Source organism: Homo sapiens, chromosome 17 (genome assembly GCF_000001405.40).
Source record: "Homo sapiens chromosome 17, GRCh38.p14 Primary Assembly".
Taxonomy (NCBI): Eukaryota; Metazoa; Chordata; class Mammalia; order Primates; family Hominidae; genus Homo; species Homo sapiens.
In genome coordinates, this window is record NC_000017.11 from 10,198,607 (window position 1) to 10,224,491 (window position 25,885).

Sequence of the window (25,885 nt, forward strand, 5' to 3'; positions counted from 1 at the left end):
GCCCCCGGGCCGGGCAGCTCGCGGATCCTAGCTCTGGGCTGGGGGGCGGGGCTCAGGGGGAGGAGACCCAGGCGCCGCGGGCTCCGGAGACAACTTCCCGGGAACGCGGAACGCGGGCTGCCGCCGCGAGGGCTGGCCGGGGCCGGGGCCGGGACCGGGGCCGGGGCCGCCCTGGCGCGCGGAAATGCGCAGCTCCCCCGGGAGGTGGGACCCGGAGCATCCCCCGCGGCAGGACTCCGCGGCGGGCGGCCGTGGAGAGGAGCTGGCGGCCGGGTGGCCGGGCGGGGGTTAGCTCACTGGCGAGGGGGCGGGCCGGGGCGGGGCCAGGGCGGCCACGCCCGCGGAGGGCTGCGCGCTCCCTCGCAGAGGGGCCTGTCACTGGGGAGAGGGGCTCCCACTCGCGCCCCCACCGCCGGGGACCGCGGGAATGGAAACGCCCCTCTGTTCTGTGCCTGCTTTGTAGGCCTGGCGGCCCGTGGCGTGCGGGCGGCTTCTTCGAGGTGTCTGCGAGGGATCGTTTGTGGTTGTCATTGTAGTGGTTGAACCTGGGGTTGAACTTGTCTCACCGGAAACTGAACAATGGGTGAAAGACAGGTTTGAAGCCTGGCGCCTGAGCCCAGCAGCCTGGTGGCAGCGTGGCACGCTGGAGGGACGGAATGGAGAGAAGACGGGGTCGGAGTTGATAGAATTGGAAACAGTCGATGGGGATAAATGGAGGAAAGGCGAACGGTGAGAGGAACAGCACCAATGCTTTTACTTGCAGAGGGAAGGCCGGCCCAGGGTACCAGCCCTCCCGAAATCGAGATGGGTTGGCTAAAGAGTCTACACTCATGTAGTCAGTCAACAAACATTACCAGGAGGCTGCCATGTTCCATGCGATGTGCCAGGTACTACAAACATCATTTGGGCCAGTCCCTGCTCTCCAGGGACCAGTGAACCTGAGTGCTGCAGAATGTTGACCTTGAACTGACCGTACAGAAGTAAAAGAAAGCTTGGTTTCTTTGCTAGTCTACTCCATAAAAAATTTTAAAGAAATAAAATAAAGTACATTTTTTAGCCTGTAAATAGCTGGACTCGGCCAGGCGCGGTGGCTCACGCCTGTAATCCCAGCACTTTGGGAGGCTGAGGCGAATGGCTCACTTGAGGTCAGGAGTTCAAGACCAGCCTGGCCAACAAGGTGAAACCCCATCTCCACTAAAAATACAAAAATTAGCCGGGCGTGGTGGCGGGTGCCTGTAATCCCAGCTACTCAGGAGGCTGAGGCAGGAGAATGGCTTGAACCCGGGAGGTGGAAGTTGCAGTGGGCGGAGATCATACCACTGCATTCCAGCCTGGGTAACAAGGGTGAAACTCCGTCTCAAAAAAAAAAAAAGCTGGACCCTTTAATACGCCTGTATACCTCTGTCTACTCCTTCCCCCCTCCCCCAGTCACCTTCTGTGGCTCCCTATTGCCTTTTAAATTTGGTACAAACTTCTCTGCCTGTACATTTCAGGCCCTCCACAACGCCTCCTCTAGCTTCACCTCTTACTATGACTGCCTAGATATCCATTACAAAACCAGTCAGGCCGGGCTCCAAGAGCCTGAAGATCTTGCGCACCTGTCTATGCTTTGAATCAGACCCTGGCACAGAGCCTTTCACCTAGTTCAATGGTTCTCAATCCTGGCTGCACATTACAGTCATTATGCAACTTTTTAAAAATACTCATGCCCAGGTTTTAAGAGTCACTACTGAGCCCTAGTCTGCAGCTAAGCCATCTCACCTGAGCAGCCTCCATCTGTTCTCTGGCCATGGGCAAAGTGACACAAGCAGATTATTTGTAATAGTCCATCAATTGCAAAGTCTTGAACATTCGCTTGGCCGGAAATATAAAGAAACAAACTCTTGACCACAGTCACCACTAAGAGTCCCTTAAAGCGGAGCTGCATAACTTCATATCAAAAACAGTCATTAAAAATAGCTGGCCCAATGAAGTTTTAAAAGAGATACAATTCCTTGTATCAGGAAAATATGTGACTTCCAGCAGGCTGTTCTGAGGCTTCATTCCTGATGATGTGGCCTGAATCAAGGTAGGACAACTGATTTCCAGCCATCCTGCAACCCTAATTCTCTGCATGCCCGTGAGGAACTGTGATCCAGTTTGGACTTGAGAAATCGCAGCCTACACAGCATGCCATACACTTGAGTTCTACCTGACCCACCTCAAACATTCCTGCAGCAACCAAAAATGATAATAGCTGTTAATTTCTCCACTTAATTCATTTCATTCCTGTAATCCTACGAGCTGATGAGGTGACTGTTGTCCCAGTTTTCAGGTAAAGAAACTGGGCTCAAAGAGTGTGACTTGCTCACCATCATACAGCTGGTCAACAGCAGAATCAGCTTTGAACTCAATTCTAGCTTATTGTACACTGGTGTTGCTTTCTGTCGTCCCCCCTGCCAGTCAGAAAGCAGGTATCCTAGTGACTCACCCACAAATAGCATCTTAAGAGAAAGTTCTCTAGGCTGGGCACAGCCTGTGAGAGCTTATGCCTGTAATCCCCACACTTTGGGAGGCCAAGGCGGGCGGATCACGAGGCCAGCAGATTGAGACCAGTCTGGCCAACATGGTGAAACCCCATCTTTACTAAAAATACAAAAATTAGCTAGGTGTGGTGCCGCGTGCCTGTAATCCCAGCTACTCAGGAGGCTGAGGCAGGAGAATCGCTTGAACCTGGAAGGTGGAGGTTGCAGTGAGCCGAGATCACGCCACTGTACTCCAGCCTGGCGACAGAGCAAGACTCCATCTCAGAAAAAAGAAAAGAAAAGAAAAGAAAAGACTCTCTGGTGATACCCAATGTCAGTCTTCATAGAAATAAGACTGGACTAGCAGTTAGTGGAACTCCTGTTGCTGATCTCTTATCAATCAGGTAACCTCCAAATCCTCAAGTCTTCCCATACCTTTGGGTCTATTTCCCCGTCTGTAATTGGAGATCGAATCCAGTAACTGGAATATGGGAATTTAAATGGTTAAATGTAGTTAGTGGTTAAATATGTTGGCTCTGGACTGCCTTTATTCAAACCCCATTTCTGCCACTTTCTAGCTGTGTGGCATTGGGTGATTTACTTACGTCTCTGAGCGTCATTTTCCTCATCACTACAAGAAGACAACAGTAGTATTAATATCATAGAGTTATTAAGAAGATTAAGTGAGGAAGCATGTAAACTGTTTAGAGCAGTGCCTGGCACATTAAATGCCCCTATGTTAGCGATTGTTTTTATCTATCCAGTTCAAGGGTCCTGGTGATTTATTACGTAACACTTCTTTTTTAACTAAGATTTCTAGAGCAACAATAGAAGGAGGAACTCTTACATCTTTGGGATGCCACAAATTTTGTAGAAACACACTTTGGCTTTCTGTTTTCTCCCAGGATCTTGAAGGAAAGATAAATTCCTCCCTTATCAATTTTCCCTCCTGCCTTCTCCCTCTCTGATTTATATTACTATCTTGAAATTGTATTTAAATCTTTAATTATTTTTGCTTTTTTTTTTTTTAAATTGAGACAAGATCTGGCTGTATTGCCCAGACTGGAGTGCAATGGTGTGATCTTGGCTCACTGCATCCTCTGCCTCGCGTCTCAAGCCATCCTCCCACCTCAGCCTCCAGAGAAGCTAGCTGGGACTACAGGTGCACACCACCATGCCTGGCTAATTTATTTTTGCTTTTTTTTTTTTTTTTTTTTTGAGATGGAGTCTCGCTCTGTAGCCAGGCTGGACTGCAGTGGCACTATCTCGGCTCACTGCAAGCTCCGCCTCCTGGGTTCATGCCATTCTCCCGCCTCAGCCTCCCAAGTAGCTGGGACTACAGGCGCCTGCCACCACGCCCGGCTAATTTTTTGTATTTTTAGTAGAGACGGGGTCTCACCGTGTTAGCCAGGCAGGTGTCAATCTCCTGACCTCGTGATCTGCCCGCCTCGGCCTCCCAAAGTGCTGAGATTACAGGCGTGAGCCACCACACCTAGCCTACTTTTGCTTTTTAAAAAAATAATAATTATTATTAAGTCTTATTTTACTGGTTAGACTGTTAGTAACTCAGGAGAGGGATAGCATCTTTGTTTTAAATTTCCATCTATCTTTTTTTTTTTTAGACTGAGTTTTACTCTTGTCACCCAGGCTGCAGTGCAATGGCATGATTTTGGCTCACTGCAACCTCCACCTCCGAAGTTCAAGTGATTCTCCTGCCTCAGCCTCCTGAGTGGCTGGGATTACAGGCATGCGCCTCCACGCCCGGCTAATGTTGTATTTTTAGTAGAGATGGGGTTTCGCCCTGTTGGCCAGGCTGGTCTCGAACTCCTAACCTCAGGTGATCCACCCACCTCTGCCTACCAAAGTGCTGGGATTACAGGCATGAGCCACCATGCCTAGCCTATCTATCCTTCTTAAAGCCTAACGTTGACTCATACAAAAAGCAGGCATTCAGTACTTCTTGATCTTTTGCATAGATTGTTTGGACCCTGTTCATATTTAGATTTTCTACTTGCTAAGTTGTTGTATAAACCTGTGTCAGAGCTTTCTCTAGACACTGTGCATTTGTTAGTTATGTGGTGGCTGGTATTTCATTTCTACCCAAGACAACCTTATACACCTTTCTATCAGCCTATGGATGGCAGAGAAATGGAAAGGTTTCCATTTCTTTACAACGTTAAACATAGCCAGGCGTGGTCGCTCATACCTGTAATCCCAATGCTTTGAGAGGCTGAGGCTGTGGGTTCCCTTGAGGCCAAGAGTTTAGGACCAGCCCAGACAACATAGTAAGACCCCTGTCTCTACAAAAAATAAAATAAAATAGAAAATAAATAAAATAATTTAGCCACAGGACGTGGTGACATATCCCTGTGGTCCCAGCTACTCAGGAGGCTGAGGTGGGAGGATCACTTGAGCCTAGGAGATCGAGGCTGCAGTGAGCCATGACCACACAACTGCACTCCAGCCTGGGCAGCAGTGCAAGCCCCTGTCTAAAAAAAAGAAAAAGGAAGAAAAAGCAAGTTAAATATAAATTTACCTAATGACCCAGCAATTTATTCCGAGGCATCTACCTAAGAGAAATGAAAACATATGTCCACACAAAACTTGTAGTGAATGTTCATAGCAGTATTATTCACAGAAGTCAAACAGTGGAAATAATCTAAATGTCCATCAGCTGGTGAATAGATAGACAAGATGTAGTATGCCAATACAATGGAATATTTACTCAGCCATGAGAAGGAGATATTGATTCACGCTACAACATGGATGAACCTCAAAGACATTGTGCTAAGTGAAAGAAGCCAGACACAAAAGGCAATGTATTATATGATTCCATTTATATGCAACGTCCAGAAAAGGCAAATCCATAGACACAATTTAAAAATTAGTGGTCACCTGGAGTTGGAGCTGCAAACAAGGAAGAAAGAAACAAACACAAGGTTTCTCTGAGGCGATGTAAATGTTCTAAAATTAGTTTGTGGTAATGATCACACAACACAGTAAGTCACGAAACTGTACACATAAAACAAGTAAAATTCGGGGCATATAAATTATACCTCAAAAAATTGTTAGTGTTGAGCAAAAATCAAAATTCATAATGATCTTCATCACCCAACAAGAGTTATCTTTTTCAACTCATGTGTGCTATTTCATTCAACAACAGCTCGAAGAGGTGTTAAACACATATTAGAAAATGGACAGTGTGCTGGGCCTAGGGATAGAGAGATAACTATGACAGCTATATAAAGAATACTGGCTGAGCATGGTGGCTCATGCCTGTAATTCCAAAGCTTTGGAAGGCTGAGGTTCGAGGATCACTTGAAGCCAGGAGCTCAAGTCCAGCCTGGGCAACATAGTGAGACCCCATCTCTATAAAAAATTTGCTGGACATGGGGGCATGTGCTTGTAGTCCCAGCTACTAGGGAGGCTGAAACAAGAAGATCATTTGAGCCTAGGAAAGCTATGATTGTGCCACTGCACTCCAACCTGAGTGTCACAGCAAGACCCTGTCTCTAAAAAAAAAAAAAAGAAAAATAGGTTTTAAAAGAAAACAATTCCTATAGATCAATAAAGAAAACATAGACAACCCAACAGAAAAATGGGCAAAGAACTTGAACAGGCATTTCACAAAAGAAGATATCCAAATGACCTATTGGTCATATTAAAAGATGCACGACATCATTAATCATCAAGAAAGCATGATTTGCTTTTCTTTGATTTTGATTAAATCATAAGAAGGTATCAATATACACTCAGAAGTGATGAAGATAAAAACAGAACAGAAAATACCACATATTGGAGAGGCTGTGCTACACCCGGAGCTGTCATACACTGCTGGTGAGAGCCTGTTGGAAAATTGGCAGTATTTAGCACAGTGGAATTGAGTGTTCTCCATAACTCATCTAATCCCCTTCTAGGCATATAACCAACTAAGATACGTTGATATGTCCAACAGAAGATGTATAACAATGTTCATAGCAGCACTATTTATAACAGCCCCAAACTGGAAACAACCCAATATCCATCAAACTAGAATTGATAAATCATGACATATTTATACAATGGAAAACTCTACACTTAGAATAAACAGGCTTGGTACAATGGCTCACCTCTGTAATCCTAGAATACCGGGAGGCTGAGGTGGGGGGATCTCTTGACACCAGGAGCTTGAGACCAGCCTGGTCAACACAGTGAGGCCTCATCTTTACTAAAAATAAAATAAAATAAAATAATTTAGCCAGGCATGATGGCATGTACCTGTAGTCCCAGCTACTCAAGAGGCTGAGGTGGGAGGATCGCTTGAGCCTAGGAGGTCGAGGCTACAGTGAGCTGAGATCACACCACTGTACTCCTGCCTGGGTGACACAGTAAGACCCTATCTCAAAAAAAAAAAAAAAAAAGAGAGAGAATAAACAAACTATTGCTACATATAAGTGAATCCCATAGATGTAATGTGGAGCAAAGAGCAAAAGCAGCCAAACACTAAAGAGCAGAGACATCATGATTCTGAGAGAGGAGGAAGGAAGAAACCAGTCAGGCAGGCAGTTAGGGTGGGTCCTTGGTAAAATTATTTCAAACAAAACAACAGCCTGAAAAATCAAACTGCAGGCACAGATTAGGGAACTTGCACAGGGTGGCTTGCCTAAGACATGCCAACAGCCACATAGATAAGAAAGGCTACACAGGGGACTTGCCCAGACATGCCCACAATGGAAAATTCCACCCCCTGACACATGCGCAGTAAGAGGAACAAAGCAATGTGGAGTAATTCAAGCTAAGGAGCCCCATGTGCACTAGGAGGATGAGGTGGAGCTACCAGAAATTCACACCTTATACAAATGAGAAGCCCAGCCCTCACTGGTTTCTTATAAAAGCCTCTGTATTCAACTGTGAAACGGCAACCCTCTTTCAGGCCCCCTCTCTGCAATGGAGAGCTTTCTCCTTTCACTTATTAAACTTTTGCTCCAACCTCACCCTTGGTGTCTATGCTCCTTAATTTTCTTGGTCATGAGACAAAGAACTTCAGGTGATACCTTGGGCAACACCAAGGTACACCAATGCTACATTGGGTGCATTGGCGAGACTGTAACAATTCCATTTATATGACATTCCTAGAAGTCAGGAGAGGAGTTATTTTGGGGAAAGGTAGTGACGGCACAGGGGTGTCTAGGTTGCTGATAATAATCTATTCCTTGATCCTCTTGCTAGTTACATGAGCTGTTCTCCAGTCTGTATACTAATTTGTGCGCTTCTCTGTGTGGATGCTATTTTTCAATATGGTTTGTTAAAAAATAATAGTATTGGGGGGAGGGGGGAGGGATAGCATTAGGAGATATACCTAATGCTAAATGACGAGTTAATGGGTGCAGCACACCAGCATGGCACATGTATACATATGTAACTAACCTGCACATTGTGCACATGTACCCTAAAACTTGAAGTATAATAATAATAATAATAGTAATAGTATTCTGGCTGGGTGCGGAGGCTCACGCTTGTAATCTCAGTACTTTGGGAGGTCAAGGTGGGTGGATCACCTGAGGTCAGGAGTTTGAGACCAGCCTGGCTAATATATAGTGAAACCCCGTCTCTACTAAAAAAATACAAAAATTAGCTGGGGATGGTGGCGGGCACCTGTAATCCCAGCTACTTGGGAAGCTGAGGCAGGAGAATCACTTGAACCTGGGAGGTGGAGGTTACAGTGAGCTGAGATCATGCCACTGCACTCCAGCCTGGGTGACAGAGCAAGACTTCATCTCTCTCTCAAAAAAAAAATAATAATCACAATGGTATTCTAATCTCAAAGAATTTGTAGTCTAAATTCTACAGAGATGCTTTCCAAACTTTTTTGACTCTACACCCCTATCAGTAAAACTCCCGGAGATATCTACTTCTCTTATCTATGAATTAAATAGATGAACCACTAAACTAATAAGCATATTATCATAGAATTAAAAATTTAAAAAGGTTATATTGAAGTAGATGTAATATTCAAATAGCTGTTCTAATATTGTCTTCCTGCACCATAATGGAAGTTTTATGTACTTCTCAGTGATCTTGAGAATCGGTTTCAAGAAGATACTGGGAAGGGAAAGAAAGTTAATATACTGAAAATAAGCATTTTGGAATCATGACTTCAGAGAAATAAATGGGTCCAGTTCTCCCCTTGCAGTCCGGAAGAAACCTGGCGTTGGGCCTCCATGGAAGAGGAAGTGTGAAGAGTTCTATCCATCCCTTCCTTGATTTTCTCATCCAGAATCTCAGCCAGAGTTCCAGCCAAAGATTCTGAAACTTAAACATGTATAAGGATCACTGGAGAAACATGTTAGAAAGGATGCCTATTTTTAGGCCACCTTCCCAGAGATTAGTGGGTCTGGGATGGGACCCGGGAATCTGTGTTTTCAACAAAATCCCCAGAGTACTGTGGGGTTTTCAGACTGTATTTCAAAGGTTGTTGGGCCGAGTGCAGTGGCTCACACCTGTAATCCCAGCACTTTGGGAGGCCAAGGCCGGCAGATCACTTGAGCCCTGTAGTTTGAGCCCAGCCTAGGAAACATGGTGAACCTCATCTCTACAAAAATACAAAAATTAGGAGCTGCAATTGTAGCAGAGCACTCCAGCCTGGATGACAGAGCAAGATCCTATCTCAAAGGACAAGGGGGGGTTTTATTTTCAGGTATTATTCGTACTCTCAGAGTGTATTTGTTTATTTATTTATTGAGATGGAGTCTCGCCCTGTTGCCCAGGATGGAGTGCAGTGGCGCCATCTCGGCTCACTGCAACCTCCGCCTCCCAGGTTCAAGCAATTCTCCTGCCTCAGCCTCCCGAGTAGCTGGGACTACAGGCGCCCGCCACCATGCCCAGCTACTTTTTGGATTTTTAGTAGAGATGGAGATTCACCATGTTGCCCAGGATGGTCTCGATCTCTTGACCTCTTGATCCACCCACCTCGCCTCCCAAAGTGCTGGGATTACAGGTGTGAGCCGCCGCGCCTGGCCTAGAGTGTCTTCATTTATAAGAAGGGTTTACGTTGGCATCTTGTTTGGCCAGGCCCACCAATGTTTAAAAAGGGGGGAAGGAGGCTGGGTGCAGTGGCTCAAAGCAGTAATCCCAGCACTTTGGGAGGCTGGAGGCAGGTGGATCACTTGAGGCCAGGAGATCAAGCCCAGCCTGGCCAACATGGCAAAACCCCTTCTCTGCTAAAAAGTACAAAAAGTAGCTGGCTGTGTGCCACACGCCTGTAATTCTAGCTACTTGGGTGGCTGAGATACGAGAATCGCTTGAACCTGGGAAGCAGAGCTTGCAATGAGCTGAGATCGCACCACTACACTCCAGCCTGGGTGACAGAGACTCTGTCTCAAACAAAAAAAAAAAAAGGTAAAGAAAAAAAAGAGAAGGGAAGAGGAAGCAAAGCTAGAGGCAGACAGAAAACAGTAATAGATCAAAGAGGAAAGAAACAATTTGGGGAACAGGAGACAGAGAATATAGAATAAGAAAAGAAGAGTAGGATAGAAAAGAGAAGGGAAAGGGGCGAGAGAGGGGAAGGAGGTGGGAGCGTGGAGAAGAAAGAGAAAACAAAGCCCAGCCTTCTCCCAGGTCTTCCAAGATCTCCACCCACTCCCTCACAAACACAGCTTCCCTGGTGTAAGCTAAAGGTTTCATTTGCAGAAGCAGCATGAAGCAAGAGAAAAGAAGAAGGGAAGAAATAAGTTGTGTGACCAGAAATAACACAAACTGAAGTCTGCTTTTTCACTGCTATTGCTTGGTGGGTGTGGAAAGGAGTTCCAGCCCCATCCTCACTGTTCCCTAACAGCAGCACAGAAATATGGAAATGAGATTGCCCTTTGGGAGTAAATAACAGTAAAATATCCACGGAGGAGCGAGGCTGAGCAGAGATATGCAAAGCCACAGAAAGAGACAGAAAGGCAGAAAGTCTCCAGGGCCAGGACCCAACTCCGATGTGATGTCGCTATTAACATATCTGAAGCTTGGAAAAATCCACCCAAAGAAGGGTGGGCTGTCTAAGAAAAGCTTAGAAAAGAAGTTTACGAAAATTGCTGTCCCTCCCTGGCTCAGTGTTATCCCTCCTTGTGGCTCCTTTGCCCAGGGCCACACGGTCCCTTCATTCTTGAAACACACACACACACACACACACACACACACACACATGCAGGCACGCACGCAGAACTACCCTTGATTACACACCCAGTCTGCTTCTCTTGCCCCGAAGACAAGCCAGATCCTAATTTCCCCAGCGTTGTGGCAGAAACTGAGGTTTTCATTTGTAGGTGGTGTCCCTCTATTGTGTAGAAATGGTTCTCCAGTGCGCATTAAAAGCAGCTTAGGTTGCCGGGCACGGTGGCTCACACCTGTAATCCCAGCACTTTGGGAGGCCGAGGCGGGCAGATCACGAGGTCAGGAGATCGAGACCATCCTGGCTAACACAGTGAAACCCTGTCTCTACTAAAAATACAAAAAAATTAGCCAGGTGTGGTGGCGGGCACCTGTAGTCCCAGCTACTTAGGAGGCTGAGGCAGGAGAATGGCGTGAACCTGGGAGGCGGAGGTTGCAGTGAGCCGAGATCGCGCCACTGCACTCCAGCTTGGGTGACAGAGCAATACTCCATCAAAAAAAAAAGTAGCTTAGGCTGACATAAATCCCTGGGGAATCTTGAGCTTCAGAAACAAACAAAACGCACAGGAATGACCTGGCCACGGGTTCTTGGCTTTTTTGTGGACAAAGGGGCTGGCCAAGGAAGACTGTCAGGAATAGCACATTTCTTTCTCAGAACAAATCCCCGGCACGAGTCTTCATTCTTTTGAAGATAAAAATAAATTCGGAATTAATCACAACAGAAAAGGAACAGTGTCTTCAATGACTATAATTAGTTCTCCATTTATTAATGAAGACTCCAATGATTAGGCTCATCCGAGTCCCAACTGTTTTGCTTGGTAATTACACACCTAAGAAAAGGGGTTTCACCTCTGTAAACCTCAATTTCCTCATCTGCAGGACAGGGATGGGGGGACCTATTTCATTAGGCCGTGGAAAAGATTGCAGAAAGCCGTCTGGGGGATGTGGTTGGCCGAGAGTCCAGCTGTGGGGAATGTACAGCATGCCTTCTGCAGAGAACTGGCTTCAGACCAGAAGAAACTTGACTTGATGTATTCAGAAGCCAGCATGTTCTGTGGAAACTTCCAGGCCTGGTATCACAGGGAGTAGGGAGGTAGAGGGAATGCTTATTTACACTGTAGACTCATAAAAATTCCTTCCAGAGCCTCTGGGTACAACCTGGATGAGGTAATAGAACGCACATTTACATACCTGTGGACTTCCCCAGCAGGATCTCCCTGTCAGACAAAGGAGGATTTCCCAAGCCCTTCCCACGGTCACCTGAAGGTCAGAGGCTGAGAAGCAGGAACGAGTTCATGGGGACCTGTGGGGCAGCCTGGACACTGGGCAGAAAGGGCTTCATGAGAACCATCTTGGAAATGAAAGGGCACATGGCTGGGGCCTCTCTGGGCAGTCAGAGTTAAAATAATAACACAGGGAAGCCTGGCATTCCCAGAGGCCAATATCCAGATGCTTCAACAATCTGGAATTCGGCCGGGCGCAGTGGCTCACGCCTGTCATCCCAGGACTTTGGGAGGCTGAGGCGGGTGGATCACCTGAGGTCGGGAATTCAAGACCAGCCTGGCCGACATGGTGAAATCCCGTTTCTACTAAAAATACAAAAATTAGCCAGACGTGATGGCATGTGCTTATAATCCCAGCTACTCAGGAGGCTGAGGCAGGAGAATCACTGAATCCAGGAGGCAGAGGTTGCAGTGAGCCAAGATCACACCATTCCATTCTAGACTGGGCGACAGAGGGAGACTCCGTCTAAGAAAAAAAAAAAAATCCAGAATTCAGTGACGACTGAGCAAAAGGAATTTTGAATAAACAAGGTGAAAAGTGTGTATCATGTTGTTCATTGTTGAAGGGAGCAGTAGGGAAATGGGGTTCATGAGACTATCTTCTCTACTTGTTTATAGGTTTGAAATTTTTCATAATAAAAAAAAGGAAGGCCAAGCGTGGCGGCTCATGCCTATAATCCTAGCACTTTGGGAGGCTGAGGCAGGAGGATTGCTTGAGTTCAGCAGTTCAAGACCAGCTTAGGCAACCTAGTGAGACCGCATCTCTCTACAAAAAATTAAAAATTACTCGGGCATGATAGTGTGTGTCTATAGTGCCAGCTACTCGGGAGGCTCAGGCAGGAGGACCGCTTGAGCTCAGGGGTTTGAGGTTGTAGTGAGCCGAGATTTTGCCACTGCACTCCAGCCTGGGAAATAGAAAAAAAAAGGAAATATATGCATCTTAGCTTACTCCATATACCTACTCCTCTGAAAGACCATCAGAATCTCAGTTAGAGCCTATCCACTCACAGTTTTCAAACAATTCTAACAACAGATCTTTTTAATCTAGCATTTTTCAGATAATAATGTTACCGGAAAGGGGTCTCAATCCAGACCCCAAGAGAAGGTTCTTGGACCTCAAGCAAGAAAGAGTTCATGATTAGCCCATAGAGTAAAGTGAAAGTAAGTTTATTAAAAAAGAAATAAAGAATGGCTACTCCATAGGCAGAGCAGCGGCTTGGGCTGCTCGACTAAGGATACTTATAGTATTACTCGATTACATGCTAAACAAAGGGTGGATTATTCATGAGTTTTCTGGGAAAGGGGTGGGCAATTGCCAGAACTGAGGGTTCTTCCCCTTTTTAAACCATATAGAGTAACTTCCTGATGTTGCCATGGCATTTGTAAACCGTCATGGCGCTGGTGGGAGTGTCCCGTAGCATGCTAATGCATTATAATTTGTGTATAATGAGCAGGAAGGACCACTAGAGGTCACTTTCATCGCCACCTTGGTTTTGGTGGGTTTCGGCCAGCTCCTTTACCACAGCCTATTTTATCAGCAAGGTCTTTATGACCTGTATCTTGTGGCGACCTCCCATCTCATCCTGTGACTTAGAGTGCCTAAAGTCCTTGGCTGGGTGCGGTGGCTCATGCCTGTAATCCCAGCACTTTGGGAGGCCGAGGCGGGCGGATCACAAGGTCAGGAGATCGAGACCATCCTGGCTAACACAGTGAAACCCTGTCTCTACTAAAAATACAAAAAATTAGCCGGGCATGGTGGTGGGCACCTGTAGTCCCAGCTACTCAGGAGGCTGAGGCAGGAGAATGGCGTGAACCCGGGAGGCGGAGGTTGCGGTGAGCTGAGATCTTGCCATTGCACTCCAGCCTGGGCAACAGAGCAAGACTCCATCTCAAAAAAAAAAAAAAAAAAAGGAAAGCCTAACATCCTTGGAATGCAGCCCAATAGGTCTTAGCCTTATTTTACCCAGCCCCTATTCAAGATGGAGTTGCTCTGGTTCAAACGCCTCTGACAATAATGTATGGAAGAAGATATCGACAGCAGGAAGGAGCACCAGCTGACAACAGATTGACACTGGCAATGAGGGGTGGGGATAGGGATCAGAGAGAATCATTTTAAAAGACTCAAGAAAACAAAAGGTGTCTAAACCAGAACTATTTAGCAACCATCAAGAGCCCTTTAAGATGTTGGTAATCAATATTCATTAAAAGACGGAGCGCTACTCTTCAAATATAAACATTATGCAAATATAAAGTACTATAAGAATGACAATGACCCTCAATCATTCCATTTTAACAGTCAAGGCAGTGTGTAATACTTTCTTGAATAATCTTCACCCATAGTGGTTAAAGGATTTCAAGTTATTTCAAGTGTTTGTAAGTGTCCAAAGACACAAGCACAACAAATTTAGCTTAAAGATCTTAATTGGTTTTTATTTGTGATTCTAGAATTGGGCACCACTTCCTTCTGTAAAACAGAATGAGTGTTCCCACGAGCTGAGCAGAGGAGGTTGGTTTTATATTCAGAAAAGAGCTGGGGAAAGCAGAAACAAAATGTGGACTGCTATTTCAAAGTTAAAAGACCGGGCACGGTGGCTCACTACCTGTAATCCCAGCACTTAGGGAGGCCGAGGAAGGTGGATCACTTGAGGCCAGGAGTTCCAGACCAGCCTGGCCAACATAGCGAAACCCCATCTCTATTAAAAAATACAAAAATTAGCTGGGCGTGGTGGCACATGCCTATAATCCCAACTACTCAGGAAGCTGAGGCAGGAGAATCACTTGAAGCTGGGAGGTGGAGGTTGCGGTGAGCTGAGATCTTGCCAGTGCACTCACTCTAGCCTGGGTGGCAGAGGGAGACTCCATCTAAAAAAAAAAAAAAAAAAAAAAAAAAGTTAAAGGTTAGGCCAGGTGCAGTGGCTCACACCTGTAACTCCTAGCACTTTGGAAGGCCGAGGCTGGAGGATCACTTGAAGGCCGGAGCTCCAGACCAGCCTGGGCAACACAGTGAGACCGCGTCTCTACAACTTTTTTTTTTGAAATTAGCTGGGTGTGCTGGTTCACGCCTGTGGTCCCAGCTGCTCAGGAGACTAAGGCAGGAGGATCGCTTGAGCCCAGGAGTGTGAGGTTGCAGTGAGCCCTGATGGTGCCACTGCATTCCAACCTGCACAACAGAGTGAGGCCCTGCCTCCAAAAAAATAAATAAAGATTAAAGCCAAGGGCTCTTGTTTATCATGCCAGCTAAAACTGGCCTGTTTAGGGGATTATCTCTCTCTCTCCCGGTTTCTCAAAAGGTCAGATAAACAACTTAGCTTCTGTTTGGTAGCGTGGAACTTTAGCATGAGTGACTCCATTTTGGTTTGGTCTGTTGGGCCTGGTACAGGAGCTAGTGCAAACCAATGGCTTCCTATAAATTTGTGCATATTAGGTGCTTCCTACTGGCCTCCTCACTGCAGCCACCCTAGAAATCTCAGCATATATTCTTTAAGGCACTCACTAAAAGAATAACCCTGGCCAGGCATGGTGGCTCATGTCTGTAATCCCAGCACTTTGAGAGGCTGAGGCGGGCAGATCACCTGAGGTCGAGAGTTTGAGACCACCCTGACCAACATGGAGAAACCCCATCTCTACTAAAAATACAAAATTAGCCAGGCATGGTGGCACACGCCTGTGATCCCAGCTACTTGGGAGAGGCTGAGGCAGGAGAATCACTTGAACCTGGGAGGTGGAGGTTGTGGTGAGCAAAGATCGCGCCATTGCACTCCAGCCTGGGCAACAAGAGTGAAACTTCGTCTCAAAAAAAAAAATAATAATAACCCTGACTTGTGAGCAACCATTTGCCCTGGGCAGAACTTCAGGAATTAGGGGTAAACTGGGGATGGAAATAATTCTGAAGAAAAGCTGCTACTGGAGAAATTATTGCTAGTTATTGCTGATCATGTATTACAAACATAAGTGAAAGGAACAGTTTTGATTCTTGGACAAATTCATTTGTGTAGAACAACTCATTTTCTAACTAAAATGAAATGAGATGGCTGTTAATATTGGTCACCTGGGGGAAGAGGCTGGGCGTGGAGGGGGCGGGTGAGAGGAAAATATCCTGGCATTGTTTCATTAGCTACAATGAGCTCATATTACTTTTGCAATCTAAAAAAGATTAAAAGGGAAATTAAGTATTCATAATAAGTAAGGAAATAATGAACATAGATTTTTGTACCTGTGGCCCTTCACCAGGTTAGTTAGGAGATCAAGATACTTAAGCCTATGGTGAGTTCCAACGTCCACCTCCGCTCTCTTTATGGGATCTGAACCTACTGTCATCCTAGTATTCTTGTGCGGTGACTTGTAACCTTAAACTCTGACTCTTGGCTCACGTAAAAATCTTACAAAAGCGATTGTCCTACAGGAACAACTGTCTGCTAGTGAGTTGGTATTAGATTAAATCATGCAAAAATATCAATGCCAGATCATTTTTGGTCTACATGCATAGTTTAACTTAACAGTTTCTTTCTTTTTTTTTTTTTTTTTGAGACGGGGTCTTGCTCTTTCACCAAGGCTGGAGTGAAATGGTGTGATCTCGGCTCACTGCAACTTCCAGCCTCCGGGTTCCAGTGATTCTCCCGCCTCAGCCTCCCAAGTAGCTGGGATTACAGGTGCCCACCACCATGCCTGGCTATTTTTTGTATTTTTAGTAGAGATGGGGTTTTGCCATGTTGGCAAGGCTGGTCTCGAACTCCTGACCTCAGGTGATCCACCTGCCTTGGCCTCCCAATGTGCTAGGATTACAGGCGTGAGCCACCATGCCCGGCCTAACTTAATAGTTTCAATGCAACATCCCCATCCACAGTGAACCCCAATGGATAAAGTGAGGCCTATGGAAGTCTCCAATTCACCCAGTCCCTGCCACATTCCTTACTACCACCCACGCCACAAAGCATTGCCTTATGTTATGCTGGATGAGTGACATGCACCGCCAGCTGCTCTCCAGAATTACTGAAAGCCTGTGAAAAAGGTAGATACCTGGGACCAACTCAGGAGATTTTGAAATAAGGAGATCTGGGTGTCTGTATTCTTGTTTCCCAGGTGATTTTTATGCACGGGTCCGGCCCAGAACCTTAGCATAGTGCGATGCTTCCCACGCTTTACTGCATGTTAGCATCACCTGGCAATTTCAGAATGGCTGGGAGTGACAGGCATCCATATTTTTATTTTTATTATTTTTATTTTTATTTTTATTTTTTTGAGACAGAGTCTCGCTCTGTCATCCAGGCTGAAGTGCAGTTACACGATCTCAGCTCACTGCAGCCTTAACCTCCCTGGTTCAATCATTCCTCATGGCTCAACTTCCCAGGTAGCTGAGACCACAGGCACCCACCATCACGCCAGGCTAATTTTGGTGTTTTTAGTAGAGATGGGTTTTTGCCATATTGGCCAGGCTGGTCTGGAACTCCTGACTTCAAGTGATCTGCCCGCCTCAGCCTCCCAAAGTGCTGGGAGTACAGGTCTGAGCCACCGCACCCGGCCGCATCCACATTTTTAAAAGATCCCCCAATTATGTCAATGTGCGGCCAAGTTTGGGAACCACTGTCACAGTGAATGACAGTTTGTTGACCTTCATTTCCAGAGGCAGGGTCACCTGTAGCCCAGACCTGAGCACGTCATCAGGGAGTAGGACCAGCACAGGAGGGCAAAGATCTGCCCACATGGATGACTCTGGTTAGGTCCTGGGACAAGCTGACCCTGTTCTCTAGGGCTGGACTTGCTGGCTTGGCCCACCTGGCTGCCTGCCTCCAGGGATGGAACACCTGCTGGGCCTCACTGCCCCAGCCCCCACGGTTTCCTGGGCAGCCCCGCCTTCCGCTGCCCACTCCGTGAGGGATATGCGCTTGGGAGCTGCTTCCCCTGCCTGGGAGTGCAGCCCAGGACCCACCAGGGAGCATGTTGCCATGACGATGGTGGCAGCCTGCTCCCCAGCCCCCTTCTGCCACCGTAAAAGCCCCGTGGAAAATCAGAACTCACAGGGCTCTTCTGACTGCCTGGACTTCTCCACAGGAAAGGGTTATGGGAGCTTTCTCCCCTCTGTGCCATTTGCAAAGCTGGAGGAGGGAACAACAGCCTCAAAACAAAAATGCAATTTTCCCACTTTATTGAGATACGTAAAGAAATCAATTTTCTTTTCTTTTTTCTGTTTGTTTTTGAGATGGAGTCTCACCCTATCACTCAGGCTGGAGTGCAGTGATGCAATCTCGGCTCACTGCAACCTCCGCAGCCTGTCTCCTCCCCCTCCCCCGGGTTCAAGCAATTCTCCTGCCTCAGCTTCCCGAGTAGCTGGGATTACAGGAGTGTGCCACCATGCCCGGCTAATTTTTTGTGTTTTTAGTAGAGACAGGGTTTCGCCATGTTGGCCAGGCTGATCTCAAACTCCTGACCTCAGGCGATCCACCCGCCTTGGCCTCCCAAAGTGCTGGGATTACAGGCGTGAGCCACTGCCTCTCACTCCCTATTTTCTTATCACAAGGATTATCCACTGCACTTGTTGTCATGATGTTTGTCAAGAGAAAAACGGGGAATGTATGAAGGAGAAAGAGCGGTTTCTCTTCAGGTGGAGAAGAGGCAGGAACAGGGATAAAGCAGAGGAAGCACAGCAGAGGCATCAAAGGGTGATTTCTACAAAAGTGCCATTGAGTAAAGAGGATGAGATTGAGGCTGCCTGGAGCAGGGCTGGGTAGACTAATAAAGAAATCAAGGAGGACCCCTGGTAGAGAATTTGGCCAGGAAATAGGTCTGGAAAAGAGAAGACTGATATAGAGTACTCTAGTTGTCTATTGCAGATTATTTCAAAATATGGTGGCTTAAAACAACAATAAATAGTGCTTTTTTAAAAAAATCGATGCTATTCTTGTTTATATTGATTTTAACTAATTAATTACATTTTAGAGGTAGGGTCTCACTATGTTGCCCAGGCTGGTCTGGAACTCCTGGACTCAAGTGATCTTCCTACATCAGCCTCCCCAATAGCTGGGACTATAAGCACACACCACTATGCCTGGCTACATTTCTTTTTATTTTTTATTTTTTTGAAACAGAGTCTCCCTCTGTCACCCGGCTGGAGTGCAGTGGCGTGATCTCGGCTCACTGCAACCTCTGCCTCCAGGGTTCAAGCGATTTCCCTGCCTCAGCCTCCCAAGTAGCTGGGATTATAGGCGCCCGCCACCACACCCAGCTAATTTTTGTACTTTTAGTAGAGACGGGGTTTCACCATGTTGGCCAGGATGGTCTCAATCTCCTGACCTTGTGATCCGCCCGCCTCAGCCTCTCAAAGTGCTGGGATTACAAGCGTGAGCCACCGCACCTGGCCTGGCTACATTTCTTATCTTATACATTCTGTGGGTCTGTTGAGTCAACAGCAGCTGAGCTTGGTACTCTTGGCTTGAGGTCTCTTGTGAGGTTCCAGTCAACAGGTCAGTCAGGGCTGAAATCATCTGAAGACTTGACTGGGGCTGTAGGAGCTGTTTCCAAGATGGCACACACACAGCTGGTGAGCTAGTCATGACTGTTGGCAGGTGGTTTCAGTTCCTTCACATGTGTAGCACTCCATAGAGCTGCTTGAGTGTCCTTATGACATGGCAGCTGGCTTCCCTCAGACAGAGTGATCCCAGAGCCAGTAAGACAGAGCTGCAATATCTTTTATGACTCACTGTCAGAAGTTACACATCTTATTTCTTTTTTTTGAGACAAAGTTTTGCTCTTGTTGCCCAGGCTGGAGTGCAATGGCGTGATCTCAGCTCACTGCAACCTCCGCCTCCCGGGTTCAAGTGATTCTCCTGCCTCAGCCTCCCAAAGTGCTGGGATTACAGGTGTGAGCCACTACGCCTGACCTTCACATTTTATTGCTACAACATCTTATTGGATCCACATGTCAGCCCTATACAGGGCTGGGAGGGAATACATAAGGGTATGAATACCAGAAAGTGAGTATCATGAGGGCCATTTTGGAGGCTGGCTACTTAAAGGAGAAAATTCTTTCTCAGTCACTGCCAAGTATAATTATGGAGGTTATTCCCTGTACAAGGAAACCCAGCAGATGGGGCAAGAAGGGGACTTCAATCCAGGCTGAACTTGATGTCTGGCCATGCCCCCAGCCAAAGCAAGTGGGTATACCCCCCACTTTTTTTTTTTTTTTTTTTTTGAGACACAGTCTCACTCTGTCACCAGGCTGGAGTGCAATGGCACGATCTCTGCTCACTGCAACCTCCGCCTCCTGGGTTCAAGCAATTCTCCTGCCTCAGCCTCCCAAGTAGCTGGGAATACAGGTGTGCACCACCACTCCCGAGTAATTTTTGTATTTTTAGTAGAAGTGGGGTATCACCATGTTGGCCAGGCTGGTCTCGATCTCTTGACCTTGTGATCAGCCTGCCTCAGCCTCCCAAAGTGCTGGGATTACAGGTGTAAGCCACCTTTTAATAATGTGCCTCTCTAGAAGAGGTACATGCCCTGTTCTTACAAAGATGCAGTTTGTGCCTCAGCCCCACTTTTTCAGGATATTTTCAAATGCATGTAACAGAAAACCTAACTTTAAAAAAAGAAAATATAATAATGTATTGAGTCATATAATTGAGGGGTGCAGGGGGATAGTGCTTCAGGTATGGCTGAACCTAGAGTCTCAAACAATGTTGTGACCTCTCTCTTTATCTCACCTCTGGTTTCCTCTGATATGCTCTAACTCCATGTCAACTTTACTCTCCTAAAGCTCTCTTATTACCATGGCACCTAGCTGCTCTAGTCCTTCTGACTCTCAGGTTCAGCCCAGATATGAAGATTCTTCCTTGAGGCATTTGGAATAAAAAGTTCTCAGCCCCATTCTCTTTGACTCCTCCCTTGCACATTCACTGTGGCCAAGGACATGAAATATGTTGATTGGCTTAGTCTATGATGTACAGCCACCCCTAGAAAATAGGGCTGGCTCAATTCTAACCCAACAATTTTGAAGATTTCTTCTAAAGGAATGAGTTGGATACTAGTAACCAATAAGGAAAGAAAGGAAGAAAGAAAGAAAGAGAAAGAAAGAAAGAAGGAAGGAAGGGAAAGAAAGAGAGAGAGAAAGAGAAAGAAGGAAGGAAGAAAGAAAGAAAGAGAAAGAAGGAAGGAAGGAAGGAGAAAGAAAAGAAAGAAAGAAAGAAAGAAAGAAAGAAAGAAAGAAAGAAAGAAAGAAAGAAAGAAAGAAAGAAAGAAGGAAAGAAAAGAAAGAGCAATGATCCTGGAAGGGCAAACATCACAGTGGTTCACCATGGCCCAGAGTCAGTCAGCATTCAACCGACTCTGGAGGGAGAAGATTCCTCCTTGCTATGCTTTGACTGTCCCCTCCAAAACACATGTTGACATTTAATTGCCAGTGTAATGGTATTGGGAGGTTGGACCTTTAATGATTAGGGCAGAGCCCTCATGAATGAATTAATCCTATCATGCCAGTGGATTAGTTATGGGTTTGTTATTTCGTGAGTGGGTTCCTAGGATAAATAAAAGGATGAAGTTTGACTTCCATTTCTCTGTCTGTCTTGCTCATGCTTGCATGCCCTTCTGCCATGTTATGACACAGCATGAAGGCACTCGCCAGGTGCCAGTGCCATGCTCTTGGACTTGCCAGCCTCCAGAACCATAAGCCAAATAAACTTCTATTGTTTATAAATTGTAGAGTCTGTGGCATTTTCTTATAGCAGCAGGAAACAAACTAAGACAGTGCTAGAATCTTGGGGTGGATGCTGGCCATCAGAAGATGGACCAGAGCAGTGCCTAGGTCCAGAGGGAAAGAAGAATACCTGTGACTGTTGCCTTAGGTGTAATCAGAGGGCTTGGCTGTCCCTAGGCTTGGTAGGTGAAGCCCCATATCATAGACTTGTGATCCAAGCTATCAACCTTTTAGAATTAAAAAGTAGAATTTTGTTTTCAAATTACTTTTCTCAACAGTAGAAGTAATGTATAAATTAAAGGAGAGGATCTAATCATTTATCATTCATTCATTATTATTATTTTTTTTTTTAAAGAGGAAGAGTCTCACCCTGTCATCCAGGCTGGAGTACAGTGGTACAATCATAGCTCACTGCAACCTCAAACTCCTGGCTCAAGTGATTCTCCTGCCTTAGTTTCCCAAGAAGCTAGGACTAAGGCATGCGCCACTACACCTGGCTAATTATTTTATTTTATTCTTTTAGATACAGGGTCTATGTTGCCCAGGCTGGTCTTGAACTCCTGGGCTCAAGTGATCCTCCTGCCTCAGCCTCCCAAAGTGCTGGGATTATAGGTGTGGGCCACCAGAACTGGGCATCATTTATCAGTCTTCAAATATGTCTGGAGCACTTCCCACATGCCATAATGTCTCGTGATGAAACAATGTTTTTTTAAAAAATTGGGAAATGACCAGGGCATGGTGGCTCATGCCTGTAATCTAGCACTTTAGGAGGCTGAGGCAGGCGGATCACCTGAGGTTGGGAGTTTGAGAACAGCCTGGCCAACATGGCGAAATCCCATCTCTGCTAAAAATTCAAAAATTAGCCGGGCATGGTGGCAGGTGCCTGTAATCCCAGATACTCAGGAGGCTGAGGCAGGAGAATTGCTTGAACCCAGGAGACAGAGGTTGCAGTGAGCCAAGATCACGACACTGCACTCTAGCCTGGGTGACAGAGCGAGACTCCATCTCAATAAATAAATAATTAAAATGGGGAAGTGTAAGTGCAAATCCAGGACTGGCTTCTTTTAGATTTAACTCTCAGTAACCATTGCTCATCGATATCTACTCCCAGGTTTAAGCAGTACTACTCTGACTCTTTTCGGAGTTGAAGATCCCCCTGGTTGTGCCTGTTTTGGCAGTTCCAATTCTTGGGGTGAAAGCTGCTTTGCCCATTCCTCTGCTTGAGTCTGGGAAAGCATTTTACAATCAGCGTATCTTTCTCCAGTGGAGGGGCAAGGGGCCTTTTCAATTCTACTACCTCACCATTCTTCAGCATTAAAAATCTTTGCACCGCCAGGCACAGTGGCTCACTCCTGTAATCCCTGCACTTTGGGAGGCTGGGGCGGGTGGATCACCTGAGGTTGGGAGTTCAAGACTAGCGTGACCAACATGGAGAAACCCCATCTCTACTAAAAATACAAAATTAGCCGGGCATGGTGGTGCATGCCTGTAATCCCAGCTACTCGGGAGGCTGAGGCAGGAGAATTGCTTGAACCTGGGAGGTGGAGGTTGCCGTGAGCCAAGACCGTGCCATTGCACTCCAGCCTGGGTAACAAGAGTGAAACTCTGTCTCAAAAACAAACAAAAAAACTAATTAAAAATCTTTGCATCTCCCTTGCACAGTAATTCCTGCTTTGCCTATGTATTTTTGTGTCCTGAGGCAGAAAAGAGAGAGGAAAACATTGGGCACCCACAATTCCAGTTCAGGCTGGGAAGAGAAGACTTCTATTAGCTAGAGTCTGCCACCAGACCCAGCTCCCTGCTAGCACACTCAATGGCTCCCTCCTTCCCCTTTAAGGGTCCTTATCTGTATGGTATTAGGTTGACGCAAAAAGAATTGCGGTTTTTGCCATTTCAAAGTAATAGTAACTCTATCAAGAAGAATTTAAGATTCTGCTCATTTCTGCATTTAAAAATCTGGCTCTGTGAAATTTTGCAGGAGAAATGGGTTCTATTTTTAAAGGGGCTGATTCTTTCTTTCTTCTGATCATTTTCAAGTGAAATTTGAATGAAATAGAGCAGTTTTGAAAGCTCAGCTGCATGATAGATTCTTCCTGAGCTGGGTGGAGCTGGGTTAATGTTTCGCAGAAAGTTGATCACTTCTATTGGTGGTCTGATGGTTCACTCAATAATTGTAGAGGACATAGAGATGTGTATTTAAAATGAGTTATATTGAGCCGGGCAAGGTGGCTCACGCCTGTAATCCCAGCACTTTGGGAGGCCAAGGCAGGTGGATCACCTGAGGCCCAGAGTTTGAGACCAGCCTGACCACCATGGAGAAACCCCATCTCTACTGAAAATACAAAATTGGCTGGGTGTGGTGGTGCATGCCTGTAATCCCAGCTACTCGGGAGGCTGAGGCAGGAGAATCGCTTGAACCCGGGAGGTGGAAGTTGCGGTGAGCCGAGATCGTGTCATTGCACTCCAGCCTGGAGAACAAGAGAGAAACTCCCATCTCAAAAAAATAAAATAAAATAATAAATAAATGAGTTAAATTGAATATTTATTTTATGTATAGTGAACTTGTATGATTCACGAATATTATTGCTAGGACAAAGCGAAAATAGATAGCTATGTTAGCTCAGACTTGATTGAAAGAAACATGTCAGTAAACAAAAATGCTATTGGTACACAGATACGGCAGAAATCATGAAGATGGCTTTGTTTGTTTCCTGTGGTTCTGTAATAACTCACTACAAACTTGGTGACTTAAAATAACACATATTTATTTTCTTACAGTTCTGGAGGCCAGAACTTTAAAATCAGTTTCACTGGGCTGGAATTAAGGTGCTAACAGGTCTGTGTTCCTTCTGAAGGCTCTAGGGGAGGACCCTTTCCCTTGCCTCTTCCAGCTTCTCTGGAGGCTGCCCACATTCTGTGGCTTGTGGCCCCATCACTTGAATCTTTCCCTCCATGGTCACATCAACTCCTCTCCTTCTGTGTGTATACAAATATATCTCTGCTTCCCTGTTTTTTTGTGCTTCTTTTGTGTGTGTGTGTGTGTGTGTGTGTGTTTTGTTTGTTTTTATTTTTTTTGAGACAGAGTCTTACTCTGTCACCCAGGCTGGAGTGCAGTGGCACAATCTTGGCTCACTGCAGCCTTCCCCTCCTGGCTTCAAGCAATTCTTGTGCCTCAGCCACCTGACTAGCTGAGATTACTACATGTATTTTTAGTAGAGACGGGGTTTCGCCATGTTGGCTAGGCTGGTCTCAAACTCTTGACCTCAAGTGATCTGCCTGCCTCGGCCTCCCAAAGTGCTGGGATTACAGGTGTGAGCTACCAAAACCAGCCTGCTTCCCTTTTATAAGGATACCTGTGATGGCACTTAGGACCACCTGAATAATCCGGGATAATCCCCCATCTCAAGATCCTTAATGCAATCACATCTCCGAAGTCTTTTTTTTTTTTTCTTGTTTATTCTTTTGCCAAACAAGGTAACACATTCTCAGGCTCCAGGGATTGGGACATGGGCAGCTTTTAGGAGGGCACTATTCAGCCTACCACAGTGGCAGAGGAAGTTTGGAAAGCACAGAGCAGGTGAAGAAATAAGACTTGTGTTGCCAGAATCCATATCCCAAAGGTCTCCAGCGATCATCAAAGAAAAGAGTCTGCTCTCTGCTTCTGCCTCCAGCTCACTGAAGATGTGGGAGGAGTGGGGTGTGCAGAGAAAAGGACCATGCAGTCCGGGTGCAGTGGCTCACGCCTGTAATCCCAGCACTTTGGGAGGCTGAGGCAGGCAGATCACGAGGTCAAGAGATCGAGACCATCCTGACCAACATGGTGAAACCCCGTCTCTATTAAAAATACAAAAATTAGCTGGGCGTGGTGGCACGCGTCTGTAGTCCCAGCTACTTGGGAGGCTGAGGCAAGAGGAATGGCTTGAACCCTGGAGGTGGAGGTTGCAGTGAGCCGTGATCGCACCACTGCACTGCAGCCTGGGTGACAAAGCAAGAGTCCATCTCAAAAAAAAAAAAAGAAAGAAAGAAAAAGAAAAAGAAAAAAAAGGACCATGCACTCCAGGCAGGTTCCTGTTGTCCTTGAAGAGTAAACACAAAAACACTTGTCCTTGAAGAGTAAACACAAAAAAAATGGATGCATTCACCATAACCTTGGATTCTTGGACATAATTTGAATCACTGGTGCATACATTGGTGATACACACACCTTAGAAAACACGAATTTTAAATTGCCCCGGGTTCAAAGGAACATTGTTTTACTCCATGCGGATCACTAGCTTAAGGCC

The 25,885-nt window shown here is 46.1% G+C and overlaps 3 annotated features.

The window, feature by feature from the left end:
- Window positions 6,497-7,696: an enhancer, noted in NCBI's record as "MED14-independent group 3 enhancer chr17:10108420-10109619 (GRCh37/hg19 assembly coordinates)". NCBI's record gives its function as "activates an origin of replication core promoter dependent on BRD2, BRD4, P300/CBP and CDK7 cofactors, and independent of MED14, by STARR-seq in HCT116 cells {active_cell/tissue: HCT116}" and the evidence as "EXISTENCE:reporter gene assay evidence [ECO:0000049][PMID:35650434]".
- Window positions 11,629-12,348: an enhancer, noted in NCBI's record as "H3K27ac-H3K4me1 hESC enhancer chr17:10113552-10114271 (GRCh37/hg19 assembly coordinates)". NCBI's record gives its function as "activates a minimal SCP1, AML or CMV promoter by ChIP-STARR-seq in naive and primed H9 embryonic stem cells {active_cell/tissue: H9 hESC(naive and primed)}" and the evidence as "EXISTENCE:reporter gene assay evidence [ECO:0000049][PMID:30033119]".
- Window positions 12,349-13,067: an enhancer, noted in NCBI's record as "H3K27ac-H3K4me1 hESC enhancer chr17:10114272-10114990 (GRCh37/hg19 assembly coordinates)". NCBI's record gives its function as "activates a minimal SCP1, AML or CMV promoter by ChIP-STARR-seq in primed H9 embryonic stem cells {active_cell/tissue: H9 hESC(primed)}" and the evidence as "EXISTENCE:reporter gene assay evidence [ECO:0000049][PMID:30033119]".